General features: G+C 41.6%; 1 protein-coding gene and 1 pseudogene across 15 annotated transcripts in view; one reads left to right on the top strand and one right to left on the bottom strand.

Moving 5' to 3' along the window:
• STON2 (stonin 2) overlaps positions 1 to 23,215 on the top strand; it is a 175,814-nt gene that overhangs the window by 17,909 nt on the left and 134,690 nt on the right. For 8 of the 15 annotated variants that reach the window (XM_024449736.2, NM_001366850.2, NM_001366849.2 and 5 more), the window contains exons 3-4: positions 19,977 to 20,262; positions 22,379 to 22,663. In XM_024449736.2, the coding sequence (XP_024305504.1) occupies positions 20,175 to 20,262; positions 22,379 to 22,663 (373 nt within the window). In that variant the 5' untranslated portion in view covers positions 19,977 to 20,174. Of the gene's footprint in view, positions 1 to 18,169; positions 18,777 to 19,976; positions 20,263 to 22,378; positions 22,664 to 23,215 lie in introns of those variants that run through there. The other 7 variants (XM_047431815.1, XM_047431816.1, XM_047431811.1 and 4 more) reach the window with 3 other exon arrangements.
• On the bottom strand, positions 5,043 to 5,692 carry DYNLL1P2 (dynein light chain LC8-type 1 pseudogene 2; annotated as a pseudogene).

Below are 23,215 nucleotides of genomic sequence, written 5' to 3'. Positions count from 1 at the left end.
TTACAAAGCTGTATTAAGAGTCGTTAAGCTTTAAACTGTAATCTGGGTTTATTATTAACTCCTTGCAATCAAGCTTCCAGTTCAGCTGTTCTACTTTATTCTACAAATGCTTGTCGCTTTCTGATACAGTTTGGCTGTGTCCCCACCCAAATCTCATCTTGAATTCCCACGTATTATAGGAGGGACTTGGTGGGAGGTCATTGAATCATGGGGACAGGTCTTTCCTGTGCTGTTCTCATGACAGTGAATAAGTCTCACAAGATCTGATGGTTTTATTAAGAGGAGTTCCCATGCACAGGCTCTCTCTCTTTGCCTGCTGCCATCCATGTAAGATGTGACTTGCTCCTCCTTCCCTTCTGCCATGATTGTGAGGCTTCCCCAGCCATGTGGAACTGTAAGTCCAGTTAAACCTTTTTCTTTTGTAAATTGCCCAGTCTTGGGTATGTCTTTATATGAAAATGGACTAATACACTTTCCTTCTGTGTAATGGCTCTGAACACTAGAAATGCTGCCAGGAAGGGTCCATCCCTCCAGAAGCTAAACTCTGCAAGCTTTCTCAAGTCACCAGCGACCACTCAAGGCCCTTTATGTCTCTCCTCAGCATTTGACACTAGAGAAAACTTCTTTTTCAAAATTCCCTCTTGCCATCATAGCCTGGAGCCCTCTGGTTTTTCTATCTCTCTCTCTGCCTGGCTCTGTCACCCGAGGGTCTAACTTCCCCCGTCCCAGCCCCACTCCCTTATGTAGGCATGCTCCAAGAGTCAGTCATCTTCTTCTATCTTTTTACTTCCCCTGTTGATAACCTATTCATTCCCTTGGCTGCATACTTTGTTTTTTCTTGGATGACTCTAAAATCTAACTTTTCACCCGTAATTTTTCTCTAGGCACCAAATCTACATTTTCACAGTCTTTGCATCTCAACATATCCCAAAAACGTATTTCCTATCCTGTCTCCAATTAATTGCACAGTTTAAGGGACCACTCCTAGTTTCCTTAGGGTATGTATTGAGGTCTTCTCTGCCCTTACCTCAGATACTATGGCACTACTATTCTCCTATCACCCAAGCTTAATTGTTATTTCCTATCACTGTTGTTTCTTCTATTCTGTTGAGTAAAGAACAAGACCAAGGATTCCTGTGGCTATAAGGTGTTTTCTCTACTTTCATCTTTTTGCCCAGTTAAGGTTTTCTCCTGAACATTCAACATTTCTTTGCTTTTCTACAGTGTGGATGGTGATGTGGGAGGGCCTGTGCTGTTGCAGAGCTGGGGGCCGGGGGCGGGGCGGTGAATAGCTCTAGGGGCAGCGTCAGATAAGAGAACGTGGTTTTTGTCGCATTGTGTGAATGGCACCTCCTGGAGTTGTGCAACACAGTGCTGTGGGAGTGTAAGCATGCAAGGGATGGAGTGTCAGTGAGTCCTTTTGGGATGCTAAAGACTTGAGTGGCAGGAACAAGTTGAGGGGAGTTGGCAGTTCAACCCACAAGGAAAGTTTGATTTTTACAAAAGAGGAAGGGGGAAATAGTTTTTCCTCTGCGTCATCTACCTGGGAAATAAAACCCTATGTTTTTCTAGACAGATCTGCATTGAGCTGACTTCATTGTAGAGCTACCCACCAAGCTTGAGATTTGTGGCCTGGAGCTCTGTTTTCCTCTAATCCTTGTTATTCTTGGTATAGAGAGTGTTGGCAGGAGCTTTAAACATAAAGGTTTTGTGTGCCTGCAGCTCTACTGATAAATTAGATAAAACCAGACCCTTATGTCACAACTGGACTCCCTTCGATATGGTTTTCCTATGGTCCAAAGAGGTTGGTCATAGCTTTGGTCACAGTGCTGCCTCCTGTTGACTGAAATGGCCCAGATGACTTGGCCACACCAGCAGTAGGACACCTTGGCTGACGATTATAGCAGCGGTGTCCTCTGTTCAGGGGCCTGTGGAGCACCCAGACAGGCAGGTTGCCACCTTCCACTGCACAGACTGTGTGGTACACACTCTTCGTGGGCATGGCTCACATAGATGACCATGGGAATGGGCCCTGAAGTTGTCCACTGTGTTGACCCTGCCTCCGGTACCTTCTCTCACTACTCATTTCTAGGCCAACTGATGCCTCGCATTGAGCCAGCTAGGCTCTTTCCTGTCTCAGGCTGAAGCTCACACCACTACTTCCTTTTTTTCCCGAAATTTCTAAGGTCTCCTCCTTCTTTGCACTTTCACTTCCTGAATGCCATGACCACAGGAATGAAATCAGCAAGTTCTTGTTCTCTCTCTTGACTAGGCTAACTCCTCCCAATCTTTATGGGTAGAAATAATAATGGTAATAGATAGCATTGACTGAGCGCTTATTATTCATGAAAAGGTTTACCTGCAGCATCTTACAGAATCTCTGAGGTAGATACTACTAGATGAAACTCAGGCGTAGAGCATTTCAGAGACAGAGATGTTCCATGGCTAGAGTTAACAACGGGGGACTTGGCCTGCTGCCCGAAGAGCTTGTGCTCTGAAGGGTATGCTAGGCATCCTCCTAAGACTCAGGTTAGATACAGCCTCTTCCAGGAAGCCTCCCCGGGCTCCCCACACCCTGCTTCTGACCTTTGGTCATGCTCCTTAGTAACCTGTGCTGTCATGCAAGCTCAGGGCCTCTCAGAGGTGGTGGAGAGAGACCTATGTTCCTTGCTTTTTCTGAGTTCTCAGAATATTAAAAACTGAAGAAGCTCCAAGACAGGATTAGAAAAATATTATGATTTTTTTGGATATATTTTCTTCTCTGATTGGACCAAATTAAAACCTTAAGTGTATAATCATATACATAGAAACCCACAATGTAATATAATTTTGCTATGTGCAAGGCAGCTATAGGAATTACAATAGATTTTTTTTTTTTTTTTTTTTTTGCGATGGAGTCTCACTCTGTTGCCAGGCTGGAGTGCAGTGGTGCGATCTTGGCTCACTGCCACCTCTGCCTCCTGGGTTCAAGTGATTCTCCTGCCTCAGCCTCCCGAGTAGCTGGGACTACAGGTGTGCACCACCACACCCATCTAATTTTTGTATTTTTAGTGTTATATCCCTAACATCTAGCAGAGGGTCAGGGCTCAGCACATTGGGGGCTCTTAATTTGTCTTGGTTGATTGAATGAATGAGTCAATGAATTGTCTGTGAACAGTCTCAGACGTCAGAAAGATTTTAGTTAGAATCCCAGACTACTCTTTACTACTCTCTGACCTTGAGCACGTTACTTAACCTCTCTGGCCTCAGCTGAGGCCTCTCTGGCCTCAGCATTTCTCTGAAATGCTGGTGTTATTAATAATAGTACCTACCTCATAAGGTTGATAAGAGGAACAAAGGAGGTAATGTACCTCATCTATAGGATGGCAAAAGTGAACTGTCATGAACAGTGCTTGGGTCCAGGGCAGGGGTGGTAGGAGGCAGGTCATGGGCATCATTGTCAGCAAAGTGAGAGCCACTCCAGCTGCTTGCCTTCTCTGTGCCTTTGTGTCCCCAACCAGCCATGGAGAAGAAGGATTGGGGATCATAAGAGAGTCTCCAAAGCACCTGACTTTGTTCCCAGAGCCCTTAGCCCCTTTCCACATTCTGCCATTTGATGGACGACCATGGGCAGATCTTACCTTTTAAATAACACTCTGCAGCCCAGCAAGCATCCTCACCCACATCAGGCCACCAAGCATTCTCACTCACATTCTTAAATGAAGTAATAATCTAATTATCTCAATAATTTACATTATCTAATTTATAATTATTATTTCATTTAATAATTACTCTTTTAATCAATATTAAATGGGCTGCGGTGTCAGGAAATTCCTGCTCTTGTTGTGTCATTCCTGGTACCTTCTCCTCCCCGAGTGGCAGAGTTATCGTAGAGGACATTTGTTCTTGTATTTACTGAGTTCTTTGGCAACATCTTCATTTTTTTTTTCACATCTAGTATTCAAGGAATCTTGAGAAAAGCCTCATTTCAAACTTTTGTGTTTCCAAGTGGCCAGATAGAGAGTGGGCTGCTTGGTCCAGGACCTCTAACTCATGCATGCCCTTGTATTGAAGAGCAGGGCACAGCAGCACTCCCTATCTGGGACTCTACCATCTTCTCTGTCCATTTGGCGTCACAGGGTTCTAAAGGTTGGATGGAGCTTTCTAAGTGTGAGCATCCACATTGCCCTGGCGTGTGAGAGCACTGGCCACTTCTTTTCTTTTGCTACGGCTTCTCCCTAGGTAACTGGATCCCTTCTGTCTGATGATCATGTCCTAACTTGTATCTCTGGCCTCAAGCTTCAAACTCAAAAGTCCAAGTGCCTAGTTGACATCTCTCTTGGATGTCTAATGAGCATCCCAAATGTATCATATTTAAAAAGAAATGCTTACTTTACTCCCAAATCCTAACTCTTTCTCTGTATCCCGGTCAGTGGGACTATCACCCACCATGTCCTCCACCAGAATTCCTTGTCCTCCCTCCTGTGAGACATCCATCAGTAAGTCCTGATGACCCTGCCTCTAAAATATATCTCAGATGACATCTCTTTCTCTTCATCTCCATTGTTTCATCCAGACTCTGGCCATCATTATCTTTTTTTTTCTTTATAAAGAAATAAAACACTTTATTCTCAATGTTGCTAATATTTTAAATTAAAACAGTAAGAAAGCTTTTAATGTTTGATTAAATGTTGCTAATATTTTAAATTACAACAGTGAGAAAGCTTTGTTTTCTTCACATGTGCAACAGATTTGTTTGTTTATTTATTTATTTATTTTTTGAGATGGAGTCTTTCTCTTGTTGCCCAGGCTGGAGTGCAATGGCGTGATCTCTGCCCACTGCAACCTCCACCTCCCGGGTTCAAGCAGTTCTCCTGCCTCAGCCTCCCCAGTAGCTGGGATCACAGACAAACGCCACCATGCCAGGCTAATTTTTTTGTATTTTTAATAGAGACGGGGTTTCACCATGTTGGTCAGGCTGGTCTCGAACACCTGACCACTTGATCTGCCTGCCTCAGCCTCCCAAAGTGCTGAGATTACAGGCATGAGCCACTGCGCCCGGCCAACAGATTTATTTTTTAAAGGAATGGATTTTGAGAGAAAACAACGTGAGGCAGAAGTATGGAATAGAAAATAAATACAGATGTAGGCTATTTTGCTAATTGTTTTGTAACCACAACAAACTAGTACAGAGAATGCCCTGTATAAAACACAATAAAGGTTCGAACATCGAGGTGTTCCCTTAGCAAGGCTGAAAATTTCAGTCTCTGGTATTTGGAATTTAGGCTGCAGTCCTTGTTTTTGGATGGACCACTGGTGGGTGGCACAGTCCATGCTTTTAACCAGATTTGAACAGAAGAATGGCCACTTGGCCCAGGTAGAAGTAGATGAAGTGTTTGGTTTCATGTGTCACGTAACTACTGAAGTTCCTCCCCACGATGCAGTGTCAGGTGGGATTGTACTTCTTGTCACATTCCTTCTTGATATGAGCCACAGTGTTCCTCTCTTTGTTGTATTTCTCCAGCGCCTGAGGAGCGCACTCCACCGAGTTCTGCTGCGTCTCTTCCGACATGTCCGCATTTTTGATCACGGCCTTTTGGTCGCACATGGTTACCCATGGAGAAGGGGGCTGGCTGACTGCAACGGTCTCCTGGGGAGGTGCTAAGCATCGCCCGGCTGGAGCTGCCATCGCTATGGAAGCCGTGGCGCCTCTAAGAAGAAAGCTTTTAATGTTTGACAGAAAGTTTTAAAGGTCACAAAGCAATCATATTTTCCCCTTTGCGAAGACTGCTTTGCGCGTGGTCATTTTTTTTTAATTTAAAAAATTCTGTTAAATTACAACTATAAAATGGACCACCTTAACCATTTTTAAGAGTAGAGTTCAGCAGCATTATGTCCTTTCACATCGTTGTGCAACTATTGCCACATCCATCTCCAGAACTCTTTTTATCTTGCAAAACTGAATCTTCATACCTGGTAAACACTTCTCTGCCTCCCTGGCCCCTGGCAACCACCATTCTACTTTCTATTCTGTTAATGTGACTACTCTAAGTACTTCATGTAAGTGGAATCATATAGTATTTGTCGTTTTGTAACTGGCTTATTTCACTTAGCATGATGTCCTCACGGGTCATTCATGTTGTAGCATGTATCAGAATTTGCTTTCTTTTTAAGGCTGAATAATGTTCCATTGCATGTATATACTACATTTTGCTTATCCATCCCATTCATCATCGGACGCCTAGGTTGTTTCAGGCCACCATCATCTCTTTTCTCAACTGTTTTGACAGCTTCCTAATTGTTTGCTTTAATTCCAGTCTTTCCCTTTCCATTCTCTTCTTTGCTGAGTTTCGAAAAAGGCAAATCAAATTTTGTTGCTCCTCTTTAAACTTCTTCAGTGACTTCTCATCGTGCTTGGAGTAAAAGTTAAACATCTTAATCTGAATCACAAGACCTTGTAGTTCTAAAAACTCATGACCTTTACAACCTCTCATGCCTCTTGCCTACTCTATTCCCAGGTCAAGTTTTTTCTGGATTTGTTTATTTGTTTTTCTCATCTCAGACTCTGTGTCTTTGGTTCCCTTTACCTTGAATCCTCTTCACTTTTCATCCCATCGTGGTTGGCTTCTTCTTGTCTTTGAGATGATAGTTAAATGTCACCTCTTCAGAGACATCTTCTGTCACTCTATGTATAAGATTCCTTGTTATTCCTTGTCTTAACTCTGCTTATTTGTAGGTCTTTTGTTTTTGGTTGACTTGTTTCATACTTCCTTTTCCCTCATGATGTAAGCCCCTTGAAGGCAGGGTCTATATCTGTGTCATTTACTTTTTAAAATTTATTTTATTTACTTATTTATTTTTTAGGCGGAGTTTCACTCCTGTTGCAAAGCCTTGCCAGGCTAGAGTGCAATAGCGTGATCTTGGCTCACTGCAACCTCTGCCTCCCGGGTTCAAGCGATTCTCCTGCCTCACCCTCTGGAGTGACCAGGATTACAGGCATGCGCCACCACACCTGGCTAATTTTTGTATTTTTAGTAGAGGCAGGGTTTCACCATGTTGGTCAGGCTGGTCTCAAACTCCTGACCTCAGGTGATCCACCTGCCTTGGCCTCCCAAAGTGCTGGGATTACAGGCGTGAGCCAGTGCGCCCAGCCCTCATTTACTTTTGTACCCTGAACATCTAGCTGGTATTTAATAACCACTTGTTGGATGAATGAATAAATATCCTATTTAAGGAAAGAGTGTGAGAGAAGATACCACAATCGAGTTTACTTTTCCTTTCCTTCCTTTTTTCCTCACTCTCCCCTCATCCCACCTTCAAAACATTCTAAAATGTTAACATCCCTCACTGTTAAGAAGAATCACTGGCGTGTAATGATCACTGCTGCTCCAGAAAACTGGTTGAATTGCCATTGGCCTCCTGATGTTGAAAGGGAACATACCCCAAAATTTTCCTTAACCTTCTCCACTAAAAATGATCACTTTACCAGCCTTGCCCCATGTCTCTGAAAAGGCAACCTAATTTTACAGTGGCCTAAATGAGCAAGGAAGAAAAACAGAAATTAAACCTGGCGAGAGAATACCCATGTAGTATGTTTCAAAGTGCGACATGTGTAATTTTGTATTTTCTGCTGTTTTGCATTGTCTTTGTTTATTCCCTGCTATGGATAACGGTTGATTTTAGTTGAAGTTCAGTCCCTTATCCATATTGGGAAATTATTTAAAGAAGGCTTTGCCTAGACTCCGAAGATTTTAAGCTCTGGAGTAAATTCTCCTCCCATTTTTTACTGTTATACTCCCTTTTTCTTTCCCAATTTCCTTGACAATCAGAGATTTTCTTGGTTTATGTATTGGTTTTCTGTAAGTGTGTATCACAGGACCACAAAATGTGTGTTGAAACCTCACTCTTTGTTAGGTCAGAAGTCTGGTACAGTCTGAATGGGTTCCCTGCTCAGGGTACCATGGGCAGAAATCAAGGGTTGGCCAGTGGTGTTCTCACTGGAGCTCAGGGTCCCCTTCAGGCTATGGCCTATTGTTGGCAGAGTTCAGCTCCTTGTGGTTGCAGGACTGAAGCCCCCATTTAAAGAGCTCATTAATTAGATTTGGCTCACCTGGATCATCTCCCTGTCTTAAGGTCAATTGAGTAGTAACCTTAATTGCATCTGTAAAATCTGTTTTGCCATGCAGTATAACATAACTACAAGAGTAATACCAGGGCTCAGATATAATGGGGTCATTTTAGGATTCTGCCTACCACATTGATCTCTTCTGTTTTTTTTTTTTTTTTTTTTTTTTTTTTTGGTTAGAGTTACATTCATCTGCATGCATCAGAAAGTCTAATTCTAATAGCTTAAGCAAAAATATATTTTTTCACATAAAAAATAGAGAAACAAATGATTGTTGATATCAGTTCAGTGGCTCAGTGACATCAGGGCCAATGACTGTTATTCTCTTAGCCTGTCCTTCCTATGATTATTGTAGCTCCAGCTGTTAAGACCATATTCAAGTTGGGAAAAAAGAGAAAATAAGAAGGATCAGAGCTGTATGAACTAATCTGTCTCCTTCATTGGGATAGCAAAACAAAACAAAGATAAAAAATACTTTTTAGAACTATATTTTAGAACTATATTTCAGAACTATATTTCTCACTGTATCTCCATTTTTGTTTAACTAGCTAGAAGTTGGTGAAGTTATCACCTCTAGGTGAAGATAGGAAAGCAGGAATAGGAATTATTGTGATTGGCTTAAACCAGGATGATGAGAAGAAATGGATGCTGGTGATGCAGTGAACACTGTCAGTTATACCTCATTTCTAGAAGGCAGAATGTGCTGTTGTGGAAAGAGTGCAGAATTTATAGAGTCAGGAGGTCTGTAATTCTGTCCCAATTCTGGGAGATGGTTAGCTCTGTGACCTTGATCTAGTCACAGAACCTCTCTGAGCCAGTTACTTTATCAAGTGGGAGAAATATTTGCTTTACTTATCTCAGGGTTACTGTAAAAGTGAATTGAAATAACCCATGAAGTTCTTTGCATTCTGGAACTATATACTAATTGTAATTTTTGGTAACTGGTAAAAAATAAGACAATTTCATTGATTCTAAGAAATATGTGTGTGTGTGTATAAATAAGTAAATATATATATATATATTTTTATATTTATTTTTATTTTTTTTTGAGATGGAGTCTCACTCTGTCACGCAGGCTAGAGTGCAGTAGTGCAGTCTCGGCTCACTGCAGCCTCCACCTCCTGGGTTCAAGCGATTCTCCTGCCTCAGCCTCCCGAGTAGCTGGAATTATGGGCGCACACCACTACGCCTGGCTAATTTTCGTATTTTTAGTAGAGACGAGGTTTCACCATGTTGGCCAGTCTGGTCAGAAAATCCTGATCTCAAGTGATCCTCCCTCCTCGGCCTTCCAAATTGTTAGGATTACAGGCGTGAGCCACTGTGCCCAGCCTTAAAAAATATTTTATCTTCTCTGAAATTAGATGAATTGTAAAATGCATCTAATTTATATATGGCTCTAAAATATAGATAAGAAATTATCCACATCAACTCCCTACTGTCACATAGACAAAATATTAGTATTCTCATTTCAAAAAAAATATGAAGTGGAGTTAAACCAAGATGAATGTACCAAGATGGAGTAAGTCAATGTCTTCTAAGAGTTCAAGGAACTGGAAAATGTTTTGCAAACTTTAAAGCCTGACCTCCTACCAGAGCCATTCACTAATGTGATACACTGCTCAGGTACGTGGGGATGTCAGTCAAGGTCACTGCCTCAGGAATGCACCAAAGATCAGAGGCAATGCCTAACCAGTTTTTCAAGCCAAGTGTAACTTAGATTCTTGACTCTGAATGTGGGGCCATGGAATTGTTAGATAGCAGAGCCATAGGGATTGTTGATTTTGAAGGAAAATCACACAGTAGAGTATTTTGTAATTATAACCTTGGGATATACATATATGTATGCATGTACATAAATGTGTATATTTATAAGTGTGTATACACACATATACACACACTCATACACACAAGTAATATGACTTTAGAGAAGGAAGCCACCTAGGGTTAGGAGATTATGCTGTGTGTGCTTGTAAGAGAAAAAGAAGAGGGAGTTCACTTATGGAGAATCATAGATAGATGCTAACTGTGGTCAAAGTATGACATTTGTTTCTTTTGGACTTCTTTCTCATACATGTTTGACTTGAGGCTGAGGTGTTCATTCTGTTCCCCAGTTTTCAATGGAAATTGGAAGAAGATTGGGTGGTCTCCTTTTGTTTTTTAAAATAAAATATTTAAATGAAAGAATGAAATTTTTAAACGTCGAAATAATAAGAGCAAACAACCAGGATTACTCAACTCATTTTCTCTTTTAGGAGCATCAAGGTACCTATTAATTAATGTGTGTGTGTGTGCGCGTGTGTGTGTGTGTGTGTGTGTTCTTCAGTGAACTCTGTTCAGGTTTTATTAATGAGAATTCAGGTCTCTCATCAAGGAAAAGAATGTGGAAGAGGAAAGGGAAGAGAAGCAGTATTCAAGTCCTTAATCTAATTTAGTCTTCCTCACAGGGTAATGGGGCCTTCCAGTCTTCTCTTTGTTCTAGCAACTTATGAAACAAGCAGCATGGTTATTTCAACTTCTGATTCAGCTTCTATGGCTCCTGTAGCCCACTGTGACACAGATATCAGTGTATGAAAGCTTGTTATTATCTTGTGTCGCTGTGCTATGCACAATTCTGAGTGCATAATAGATGCTCAATAAGGTAGCTGAATATCTTGCTTTAGAAGAACACTGTAAAGAAATATGTAGAATTTATGTAGTCTGTTTTTCCCATTCTTCCTTTCTTTGTAGCTTTTGATTTGACCTTTAGATGCTTGTCCTTATTCAAGAGAAAACTGAGGCCTTACTTGTGGGTTTGGAATGGACACCAGGATCTAGTTGAAGATGTTTCTGCATAAACTCCAAACAGATGACTGGACAGTGGTTGCCAATAGTCTCAAACCCAAAAAGTGGATGTGGCGATTTTCATAGACGCTACCTAGCTTAATACCTATGAAAAAGAGGTAGACAGGGAAGATGGCCAAAGATTTAACAACCTCTTTTGGATCACTAACCAGGCACAAGTAATGTTTTTGTATTATATAGCATAGCTAACCTAACAAAATAAATCATTTTCCCAGCTCTGGAGCAATGGAATTAATCTATATGGCTGAGTGAAACCTTCCTTTTATTCTCATATAATTTATAAAATTTCTGTAAAATTTCCAATTAATTTTCAGTACATTACTGTGAAATGACCTGTATTTAGATGTCTGAACTAGTCTCTTTTTAAAAGTGAACACAAGTCAGAAAGTAATGTTCCAGGGGAGGACTTCCAGTTCTGGTTATACTTGGTAACTAGCCCTTCTTCTGCAGCGAACAACCACAAAACAGCAACATCTATGAGGCAACTGTTTTCAGGCTTCGGTCAACAGGCAGCACAAGATTTTCTATCCTGAGGTGAGCCTGACACTCGCCTTGGCTCTTTTCCAGGGAAGAGTTTCGTGACTGCAGTGTGGTCAGCTGGAGTCTAAGCCAAGCACAGCAGTCATACTGAGCTAAGAAAACAGAGATCAGAGTTTGGGGCAATTGAAGCAGCTGGAATCTGCAGGACAGGGCACCAGAGAGCAGAGAGTTGGGGAGCAGAGAGCATGGGGATGGGGAGAGAGGAGCAGAAGTATGTCTGGGTGTACCCAGAGAACCGTTGGCCAGTTTAGAGTGCACAGGTGCACACTGAAACCATGCAGAGCTTAATAGAGTGGCTGCTGGAGGATTGAGAATGGGACAAAGATACTGGACATCAGGCAATAGTGGGGGACATTGGTGGTCCAGCCCAGCCACAGTGGAAAGAGCTCGTTAACGTCTTATTAACATCTCAAGCATCCAACCAAGTATGGAAAGCCTGTGTCTTAGGGGTAAGGATCATGTTCTCAAGGAGGGTCTGTAAATTTTTTTCTGTAAAGGGCCAGTAGTTATTATTATTGAGCAGTAATTATTTCAGTCCCTGTGAGCCATACAGTATCTGTCACAGCTACTCAACTCTGCTATTGTAGACCAAAAGCAGCCATAGACAATATGTAAACTAATGAGTGTGGCTGGTAAATATACTAATAATACAACTTTATTTACCAAAAAAGGCAGAGGGTCAGACTTAGGCTGTGGCTGTAGTTTGCCAGCCCATGCTCTAGAGTAAGATTTACTTTAAGCTACCCTAGCAAAGCCTAGAACCAAGCCCTGTGTGTTAGGGTTCTCTAAAGGGACAGAATTAATAGGATAGATGTATATATGAAGGGTAGTTTATTAAGGAGTATTGATCACAAGGTGAAGTCCCACAGTAGGCTGTCTTCAAGCTGAGGAGCAAGGAATCCAATCCGAGCCCCAAAACCTCAAAAGTAGGGAAGCCGACAGTGTGGCCTTCAGTCTGTGGTCAAAGGCCCAGGAGCCCCTGGCAAATCACTGGTGTAAGTCCAAGAGTCCAAAAGCTGAAGAAATTGGAGTCTGATGTTTGAGGGCAGGAAGCATCCAGCATGGGAGAAAGATGAAGGCCAGAAGACTCAGCAAGTCTGGTCATTCCACTTTCTTCTGCCTGCTTTATTCTAGCCACACTAGCTACTGATTAGATGGTACCCACCCAGATTGAGAGTGAGTCTGCCTCTCCCAGTCCACTGACTCAAATGTTAATCTCCTTTGGCAACACCCTTAAAGACATACCTGGGAACAATACTTTGCATCCTTCAGTCCAATCAAGTTGACGCTCAATATTAACCATCATACCCTGTCAAGATCTACAGGGGAGACAGAGTTTAGAAATTGAGTCCTATGGCAATTAGAGGGCCATGGGAAACAAATTAATCCAATGAAGTAAAAGACCAAGCTTTATACAAGCTCTAGGCGAGCAGCACTTGGTCAGACTGCCTGCTGGAACAAACATCAGCACTCTGCAGAGGAAAGTCAAATCCAGAAGGTCTTCAGTGTATCACCAACAATTATTAGGTATGCAAAAAAAAAAAAAAAACCTTAGGAAAGTAAAAACCTTAGGAAAATAAAAACCATAGTCAAGCAAAAAAAAAAAAAAAACAATAGTAACTAATCCCAAATGGTCTAGAGGTTGGATTTAGCAGGCAAAGTCTTTAAAGCAGCCGTTATAAATATGTTCAAAGAACTAAAGGAAAATATTGTCACAATGAGTGAATATATAAGGCATCACAGCAAAGAAATAGAAACTGTAAAATAACATTATAAAATGGAAAAGCTGAATAAGATACAAAATTCATGGGATAAGCTTATGGGAGAATGGAGATGAGAAGAGAAAGAGTCAGTGAACGCAAGGACAGATTAGCAGAAGAGATGGAAAAGGGGCAGAAAAACACATTTGAAGAAATACTGACTTAGTTTTTCCAAATTTAATGAAAAAATGGACATACAGATTCAAGAAACTCCACTAACTTCGAGTAAAATGAGTTCTAAGAAAACTACATCCAAATGCACTATAGTCAGTTGCTGAAAATGAAAGATAAAGAGAAAATATTGAAAGCCATTAGAGGAAAGAAGACACATTATATAAGCATGAGTAATTACATATAATCAACTGCTCATTAGAAACATTCAGACCAAAAGGCAAAATACTGAAGGAAAAATTCTCTGTCTTGTGAAAAGTAGCCTTCAAAATCAAGGATGAAATAAAAAATGGACTGCTTTAGAGCATTGCTGTCCAATAGGAATATACCATGAGGCCAGGTGCAGTAACTTGTGCCTGTAATCCCAGCACTTTGGGAGACTGAGGTGGGAGGATTGCTTGAGCCCAGGAGTTTGAGACCAGCCTGGGCAACAGAGTGAGACCCTGTCTCTACGGAAACATTTTTTAAAATTAGGTGGGTGTGATGGTGTGCACTTATAGACCCAGCTACTCAGGAGGCTGAGGTGGGAGGATCACATGGGCCTGCAGAGGTCAAGGCTGTAGTGAGCTGTGATAGTGCCCTGTACTCCAGCATGAGCAAGAGTGAGATCCTGTCTCAGTTAAAAAAGGAAGAAATATAGTGTGGGCTACTTATATATGATTTTAAATATTTTAGTAGTTTCATTTAAAAAAGTTGAAAGGAACTGGTGAAATTAATTTTAACAGTATGTTTTACTTAAGCTAATACATCCAGGATACCATTTTAACATGAAAGCAGTATAAAATTATTAGATATTTTACACCTTTTTATACTCTTTAAAGTCTGGTGTATATTTTACACTTAAGGAACAACTCATTCAGATTAACCACATATCAGTAGTCCCTATGTCTAGTGTCTGCTGTATTGGAATTGGATGATATAATTTTAGATCAAAGAGAAAGGGGAATGAACATATTTCCCTATATCTAGATTTTCTCCGAAGCTGTTTTACACATAGTGTTTAAATTAACCTTCCTAAAACATTTATTAACGTCTCAAAAGAGCTGAAGAGGCTACCTACTGTATGTTAAGGCAAATTCATTCATTCAGCTGGTTACCCAACAAGCATTTACTAAAAGCCATACCCTATTCTAAGAGTTAAAGACATCAATAAGCAAAAGATCAAGTCCCTTTCCTCATATAGCGACATTAGCAAATAATTTCATTATAATTTGGTAAATGAGTGTAAGTTAAGATAGTATCAGCATTCAGAAGATATGGGGGATAAAGGGCAAGTGGGAAGTGTGGTACTTTACTTATTGGAAGTTGAGGAGTACCACCATAGATCAGAGTTTTTGGTTGCAAGCAACAGAAATTAATTTTGGCTAATACAAGCAGGAAAGAAGTCTATTCAAGGGTATGAAAGAGCTCATTGGATTGCCAGATGACTCTCAAACGTGGCTTGGAAAATAGGTAGGAGCCATAGGACCTAGCCGGCAGTAAACAGAGACAGAGTCACACCATGGGTCTGGTTAGGATGCTGCACTTGTCACCATTGCCACGGAATTGAGTTGTGCCTGCTTCTGGGCTTGGGTCAAGTTTCCATTGTTCGCATGCCACTCTTGCATGTATTCAAGGCCCTTGTACCTTTTAGCATTCCCTCAATATTCTAGCAGCCGTTGACAAAGCCTGGATTAATTGCCAGGAGGGATGTAAAGATAATATTTTTTTTCTCGAAAAAGAAAGGAGTTTTGGGTGTTGAGTAGGCAAAAGACAATGAGCATGCATATTATAAAGGTTTTATGGCAAAATAATTTGTGTTCTTTATCTTTGCATTCAGTGATTGCCACTTGGCATAAATGCTTGTTGAGCCAAGCCTGAGATAATGATTGAGCTAAGACTTGAAGGTGAGCAGGAGCTCATGAAATAAAAATGTAGGGAAAATGTATCCCAAATATAGTATTTAATAATGTATTAATATATGAACAAGTGATCGAATAGGACAAAGTATATTAAAAAACACAGTCTTTCAAATAACTCAGTTCATCAGGAATATAGGATTCACAAGGGGAGAGAATGACACATGGGATTAGAGAGGTGGATCAGGGCCAGATTCACAAAGTGCCTGCATTTATACGACAATTTTTATTGAGCTGCTAACCTGTGCCAGGCACTATGCTCAATGCTGAGGGTATAGCATGCAACCCCTGCTCTCAGGAATCCTTTGTTCATTTCTCATACCTCATTTTATCCTGTGAGGAGACTTTGAGGAGCTGTAAGCAGAGCTGTAGCATAGCCATTTTCAGGTTTTAGGAAGATAACTCTACCATAATAGGCTGGATAGTAGGTTTGAGCAGGTGATACTGAAGGCAGGGAGACAGGTAGGAGACTTGCAACTGTCTGCGTGAGAGATCATGAGGGGCTGAGCCAAGGCATTGGCAGTGGGATTGGAGAGGGTAAGCTCCAGAGCTCAAACTCGTTCTGAAACTTAGAGCTCCTTTTCCAGGATGCTTGACACCCTCTTCAGATGAACAGAGTGTAACTCACTGTGGGCTAGACATACCATTCCTGCTCCCCCTTCCTGAGTGCCTGTGCCCCTCAGCTCTTTTGCTCAGACCCCTCCTTTCCGGCTTAGGGTACAGTTCAAGACCACCTATAGCTCAAGCTCTCAGAAGTCTCTTAACACTCTTACTTGCTGCTGTCCTACTTTTGGTGACTAACCACCAGAATAGGTTAGAGAGCAGAGGTTATTGTTTTAGGTTGCTGTGGTATCTCCCTGCAGTTGACAGCTGCTTGAGGGCAGAGATGCTGTTTTGTTCTCCCTTGACCCTCAGGCCCTAGAATGGGCAGAAACAGTACATGTTCCTGATGACTGTGCCCCCCAACTTTGTGAGACACACCGGAGGTACTGATGGCTGAAAAATTCCATCACCACGCTTCTGTCCAGCACTGTCTGAGGAAGGCTTATCTCCCTTAAGCACACTTCTTGAGTCACTCTCTGCTTTTAAACCTCCCACAGCTTCTCATTTCCCCTTGAACTCTCCTTAGCTTTTATGGTCAATCAATCCCTTCACTCCATATTCCCCCAGTAGATACCTCTGCTCTCATCAGACAGAGGCTTGTTCAGACAGAAACACACCTTGTTAAGGTCTGCTTCTGATTTTTACTGTCACTTGCGGTGATCCCCTGTCCAGAGGCTTCCCTCACTTGTCCCTCTGTTGGTCCAGAATCAAGGACATCCTTCACATCTCAGAAACCCACCCAGTCCCATATGGTTCCAACTCTCAGAGATCTCCCTACGGCTAAACTGTGGCAATTAGAGGACTGTCATAAGACAAAACTACTTCTATGACCCCCATCTTATCAGACAATTGCATTCTCCCTTCTACAAATTTTTGTATAATGCTGAGAAAGAAGTAGCTCTCTGAAATGGCAACTCCAAGACTTCAATGAAACTTTTAGCATCTGTTGGTCAATCCTCCTGCTGATACTGAGTCACCACTCATTTGTGGTGATTCTAAACCTCATTTTATGATTCACATTCTAAAAATGGGGTGAGGTTTTTACCAAGCAACTAATTCCAGTATGAACTTAACCTCACAATTATTGGGTTCTTCTGTGGGTTTCCAGCTGCTTAGCACAGCACTTTTCAAGGTCTGATTTCTTATGGCTTATTGGTGTGGCTCTTCCATGGCAAATACCTAAAATCCATTTTATGGATTTATGGTATGGAATATGATGGGGGGTTCCATGTGATCAATTTGTTCCACCAGTCTTCATTGGGACCACTCATTGTCTGTCACCAGCCCATGTCTGGTCTGGGACAAGTGAAGGAAGGATAGATAAAGTTTTGGGGCTCTTTTTTCGTTCATACGTTCTGAGGAATGGTCTTGGTACTTTGGCCAGAATGCACCTATATCTATAATGAAGAGGATTTAGAATCTGCCTTCTGGGCACTGTAGCTGAGCACATGACTCTACTTAGCATTTTGAACAATGACTGAAACCAGATTCTGCAAATGACAGAAATGCAGTGGTTTCATGAAATCTGCATTCCAGTCCCAAGACTTCTACGAACAAGTTACGCAACGTTGGGCGAGTCATTTAACAATAGCAGCAGTGCTGGCGATGGCTAACATTGGTTTGGAATGGAGCCTGGGGCACAGTAAGCCCTCTGTAAGGTCACCTGCTGTTTTCATTGTCATCGTTACAGAGGGTTTATTACATCCAGTCCTTAGTACTTGGCGTACATTATCTTGTTTAATCCTCGGAATTATGGAGTGAGTTTTATTATTCTTTCTGTACAAGGTTGAACTGAAGCTTAAAGAGGTTGAGTTATGAGTCCACGACTGTATAGGACTCCAAGACTGTATAGGACTCAAATCCGAACAACCTAACTCCTGGGCCTGTGATCACAATCTCTATTCGTGTGCCTGATTTCCTTGGGCCTCAGTTTTCTCATAACACCTGAAGTTGTTGATCTTTAAAACCTTTCAGTTTAAAATTTTTAAATATTTTCCTCTTACCTTCACCTTCGTCCCCTGTTCTCTTCCCTACCCCACTTATCCATGACTTTTGCTGGGTTCATCATTGCAGGATTGGCAGGATGTTTTCCCCATTGAGTGATGACACTGCATGTGTCAGCATAGGGACTTGTATTGTGGGTTTTTTTTTTTTTTTTTTTGACGGGTGCTGTGGGGCTGGTTTACATGCTGCTGTCGTTGAAAGAGGAGGAATCTGACTCTTCAATTTTACTGCCTTATCTTGGCCCGCAGCCATTACCACATTGAGTGACACACATTTGACAGGGCTTGAGAAAGTCGTCAAAGGCAGAAGCCAGTGGGAATCAGCTCTTTGTGCTTGTGGACCCTGCACTGCTCTCTGGTAAGATCTGGTTTGGGAGACCTGCTCTCTCCAGGCTGTTTGCCTATGTCTGGCCTTGTGGTTGGCAAGGATCCTAGGAGAGGGACTTGGAGAAGAGGCTTCTGGGCTTCCCATCCTTTATACAGCTTGGGGTGTGCTGGCAAACTTTCACATGGGGAGTTTCCCGGACATTTCATTACAGTTCCATTGTAATTGATATTTGTAAAGTACTTAAGTTGGGTGATAGTCTATATGTACTGTATTCTGTTGTACTTCTTTGCGGCTGTGACACCAGGGTTAGAGTGTTTTGGCTGCAGAAGACCTGGGCTCAAGGGTTGGATCTATCACTTAGTGTGGTGCTTCAAACACACCTGCTTGTTATGGCTTTTACTTGATTATTCTTTGGGTGAGATCTTATTATGAAGAAAAGTCAGCCACTGTGCTGAGATTTGTAAACTCTTCCACTTAGCCTGGAGGAAGCATTTTACCAAAAGGGCCTGGAAGCACTAAAAGTATTAGGTAAGTCACTTAATTTTTCTCAGCCCAAATTTCTTTATCCATAGAAGAATTAGAGTACTATGAGTCCTACTCATCAAAATGGCTACTGAATCAAGTGAAGTATGGTATGAAAATGTGTTTCTGAAAATTATAAATTCTATATAAACATTAGTTGTTTTTAGGAAGCATCATATGCCAAAACTGTTTTAAACACCAAAAAAGCAAAAGCTGTTCATGTTTTTACCGATTTTCCCACCTAGAGATTATTTACTGCAGATGATAACCTGTAGTAAAATTTCCTAAACTTTTCATTGTGCAGCAATTGGAAGACTGTGAGTTAAGTTGTTCTAGAAACTATCTGAATATTGTGTATATTTAGTTAATAAGAACTGATATTGTTCAAGGTATATAGTAGCTCTTCTATGGAAGCACATTAATTTTAGATAAATTCAGATTTTATTAATTCATTATAAATCATTATTAGATCAAGAGCTAGGTTCAGGTTGTAAAAAGATATTAATACCATGAACAAAATTATGTCAATTAAGAATCTTTCTGTATTCCTAGAACATAATTGCAGTGTGAGCAAAGGCTAGACCATTGTAACTAATTTAAATAGGCCTAGATTGAAAATGTTACTCTAACTCACATTTTTCACTACCACAGATGTTCCCTATCCTCTTACTCCAAATGAACAAGATCACTTCATTTCTATTTTTCTTGATTGATAAACCATGCTTGGAGATACCATCTGGAGATTGTTGGGTTTCTGCCAGAGATTTAAATCAGGTTTATAAAGAGTTACCTGCCTAAGGCAAGAAACTGGACTAATTTAATAGAAAAGAACATGCTTTTATTTTGCCAGCTAGTAAGAGAAAGTGAAAGCATTTTGAAAAGTTTTAATATTTGTTTAGCAATGATAGTATTATAGATGACAATATTTCTAAAATACAATAATTAGGGAAATTAGAGAATCTAATTGCTGAAATTTGTGTAATTATTTGCAAGTGTGATATGAAGGCTTATCTAGAAACCTTGATGCTAAAGACAGACATTTCAGTATAAAAGGTGAGGGCATGACAGGAACAGAGTGAAGTAAGGCAAGTTGGAAACCACCCCAAGCCTTCTTGTGGGCAGCGCTAAAAGCCCTAGACCTATGTGGATTCAGTGTAATGTGATGGTTATCCTTTTTAATTTTTTGTTTGTTTGTTTGTTAAACAGATTTCTGCCTGGCAGATTAACCAACGGCAAGAGAGGCTGATCTGTCTACATTCTGAGTACTGCCCTTGGCAAGACACCTAGAACAGACCCTGGACCCAAGTCTACCGTACTACCATACCCCTACTCCAGCCCACCCCAGACAGTATTCTGGGGTTCACCTGAGGTCAGCAGTGTGAAGATGACCAGTGCCTTTTTAGCATGACGACTTTGGACCATGTGATTGCCACCCACCAGTCAGAATGGGTCTCCTTCAATGAAGAGCCACCCTTTCCTGCCCACTCGCAGGGTAAGGAGTGCCTTCGTTTCCTAAAGTGAAGAGATTGTCAAAGAACCATGTCTATTTGTTATGGCTTCTACTTGATTATTCTTTGGGTGGGATCTTAATATAGAAAAAAGGGTCAGTTTCTCACTTTCTTTCTTGAGATCTTAGAATCCTAAGTGGAAGAATTTACACACTGAAAAAGCATCTTGGGAACCTTAGGGCCCTAAAAAGAGGCTTGGAAACACCAAAGGTAGTGGCTCTTTTCTCCCAAGAAACAAAAACTTAATATTTACCAAATACTTTACTCTCAGCCTTTTTAAAATGTAGTTATTAAAAGTAGTTGTTAAAAGTGACAGGCTCTGGAGCCAGAGTGCTTGGGTTCAAATCCCTGTTGCACCAGGGATGAGTGATATGCTTTTGGGTAGATTATTTATTTAACCTCTCCATGCATAGCTTCATTATCTGTACAGTAGGGATAATCAGTACCTATCTCACAGGTTGCTGTGAGGCTTAAGTGAATTCATACATAAAAGTGCTTAGAGCAGTGCCTGGCACGTGGAAAGAGCTCAGTACGGTCATCCTTGATCATAAGGAGGATGACTATATTGACTTTGGAGAACTTGTGCTCAGGGATGAAGGTCAAGGTAGGATCCAGGAGATATTTGCAGAGACATGTGAGTTGGTTCTGTTCTACTACAGCTACCAGTGCCAACTGAAGTCATCCCACCGTCATTTATAACACCTAGAAAGTGTGAGTCGACAGGTATGCTCTCCAATATGGTGGCCATGTGGTTACTGAGCCCCTGAAATGTGACAAGTCTGAATTGGGATGTGCTGTAAGCATCAGATACCTATGCTAAATTTCAAAGACCTAGTTTAAAAAAATTAAATAGCTAATAATTTTATATTTCTTACATGTTGAAATTATAAATTTTCAGCATTGGGTTGAAATGTGTATTATTAAAATACTTTCTCCTGTTGTGTTTAATTTTTTTCATGTGGCTACTAGAAAATTTAAAATTACATATGTAGCTCACATTTTATTTCTGTTTGACGTGCTGTAGAGGCTTTGAATACTTGCAGATGGACCGGTTGGCTAGTGATGGGAGAAAAGATTTTATATTAATTATTTGATTAAAAACCTTTATACAGAAAAATTGACTTCTTTTGTTGTACAGCTGATGAATTTCAGCACATGTATACATTTGTGTATCTACCACCATAATCAGGATATAGTTTTTTTGTTGTTGTTGTTGTTTTGAGACGGAGTTTCGCTCTTGTTGCCCAGGCTGGAGTGCAGTGGTGCAGTCTCAGCTCACTGCAACCTCCGCCTCCTGGATTCAAGCGATTCTCCTGCCTCAGCTTCCCAAGTAGCTGGGATTACAGGCATGTGCCACCATGCCCGGCTAATTTTGTATTTTTAGTAGAGATGGGGTTTTGCCATGTTGGTCAGGCTGGTCTCGAACCGCTGACCTCAGGTGATCCACTCACCTCGGCCTCCCAAAGTGTTGGGATTATAGGCATGAGCCACTGCGCCCGGCCAGGTTTTTTAATTTCCAAAAAAAAAATTTTTGAAGGCTGTTTAATTTTCTGGGGCCAATCAAGTGATACAGTGCTGCAGAAATAACCTCTAGGTTACATTCAGCTGGTCATTAGTGCACATGGGTTTGCACCTGGTGTCCTGTGGCTGTGTATAGCTTAGACTGCAAAGAATTTGAAATTTGAATTTGAATGTCTTCAGACAGAAGTGCTCTTGTTCAGCCACAGTCCCCACCAGTCCCTTTTGCCTTTCACTTGTCTCACTTGACTCAGGTATATTTCCTACTTGACCTCTGTAAGCACTTTCCTTTGTGACCCCCAAGCACTGGAGTAGATGCTGGCATAAGAATAGTGAAGAAGGCTCCTAGTCTCTGCCTGCCAGGATACTGACTGGAGACATGCTGAGCTTACAGCATTTACACATGATTAGGGAAACAGTCATTTAACATGCAGTCAGATGGGTGTGGCTCTTTCTTCTCCCCACTCACTGCAGTGGCGAGTCATGCGGGCACCCCATGGTCATCCTTAGTTTTTGCCTCCATGAGATGGCTCTGAAGAGCGGCCTTCCTCACATGATGGTGGCGTCTGGTATCTGTTTCAGGGGGCACGGAAGAGCACCTCCCAGGACTGTCATCTTCCCCAGACCAGTCCGAGAGCTCCTCCGGGGAGAACCATGTGGTGGATGGAGGCTCTCAAGACCATTCCCACTCGGAGCAGGATGACTCCTCTGAAAAGATGGGCCTCATCTCTGAAGCAGCTTCCCCACCTGGGAGCCCTGAGCAGCCCCCACCTGACCTGGCCTCGGCCATCAGCAACTGGGTTCAGTTTGAAGATGACACACCCTGGGCCAGCACATCTCCACCTCATCAGGAAACAGCTGAGACAGGTGAGGAGGTAGGAAGGGCCCGGCTTGGGTTTGTGGTCAGCAGGGATGCTTTTCAGTGAGAGGTCTATAGGGCTGCCAGGATTCCATTTCATCTGCCCCCTAACCCTGAAGCACTGGTCGCATAGGGGAGAGCAGACGGAGTTCTCATCTGGTTTAATTCTGTAACTTGTTTTTGTTGACATAAGCATACAAAAGAATGTATGTGTTCTAGGACATTTCTAGTCCTTTACTCTTGTCCCTGGCTGTTGACTTGTCTTTAAAATAATGCATATATATTTTTCTATTAGGGATTGGAATTATATTTACTCAGCCCCTAAACTGTAAGCACCTTACATACAGAAATGAATGTTTCTGCTGGGTGCGGTGGCTCATGCCTATAATTTCATCACTTTGAGAGGCCGAGAAGGGTGGCTCACTTGAGGTCAGGAGTTTGAGACCCACCTGGCTAACACGGAGAAACCCCGTCTCTGCCAAAAATACAAAAATTAGCTGGGCGTGGTCGTGCACTTCTGTAATCCCAGCCACTCAGGAGGCTGAGGCATGTGAATTGCT

The sequence above is a fragment of the Homo sapiens genome, chromosome 14 (assembly GCF_000001405.40).
Source record: "Homo sapiens chromosome 14, GRCh38.p14 Primary Assembly".
Lineage (NCBI taxonomy): Eukaryota > Metazoa > Chordata > Mammalia > Primates > Hominidae > Homo > Homo sapiens.
Note: the sequence above shows the minus strand (reverse complement) of the source record. Positions and strands in the feature narration are given on the sequence as shown.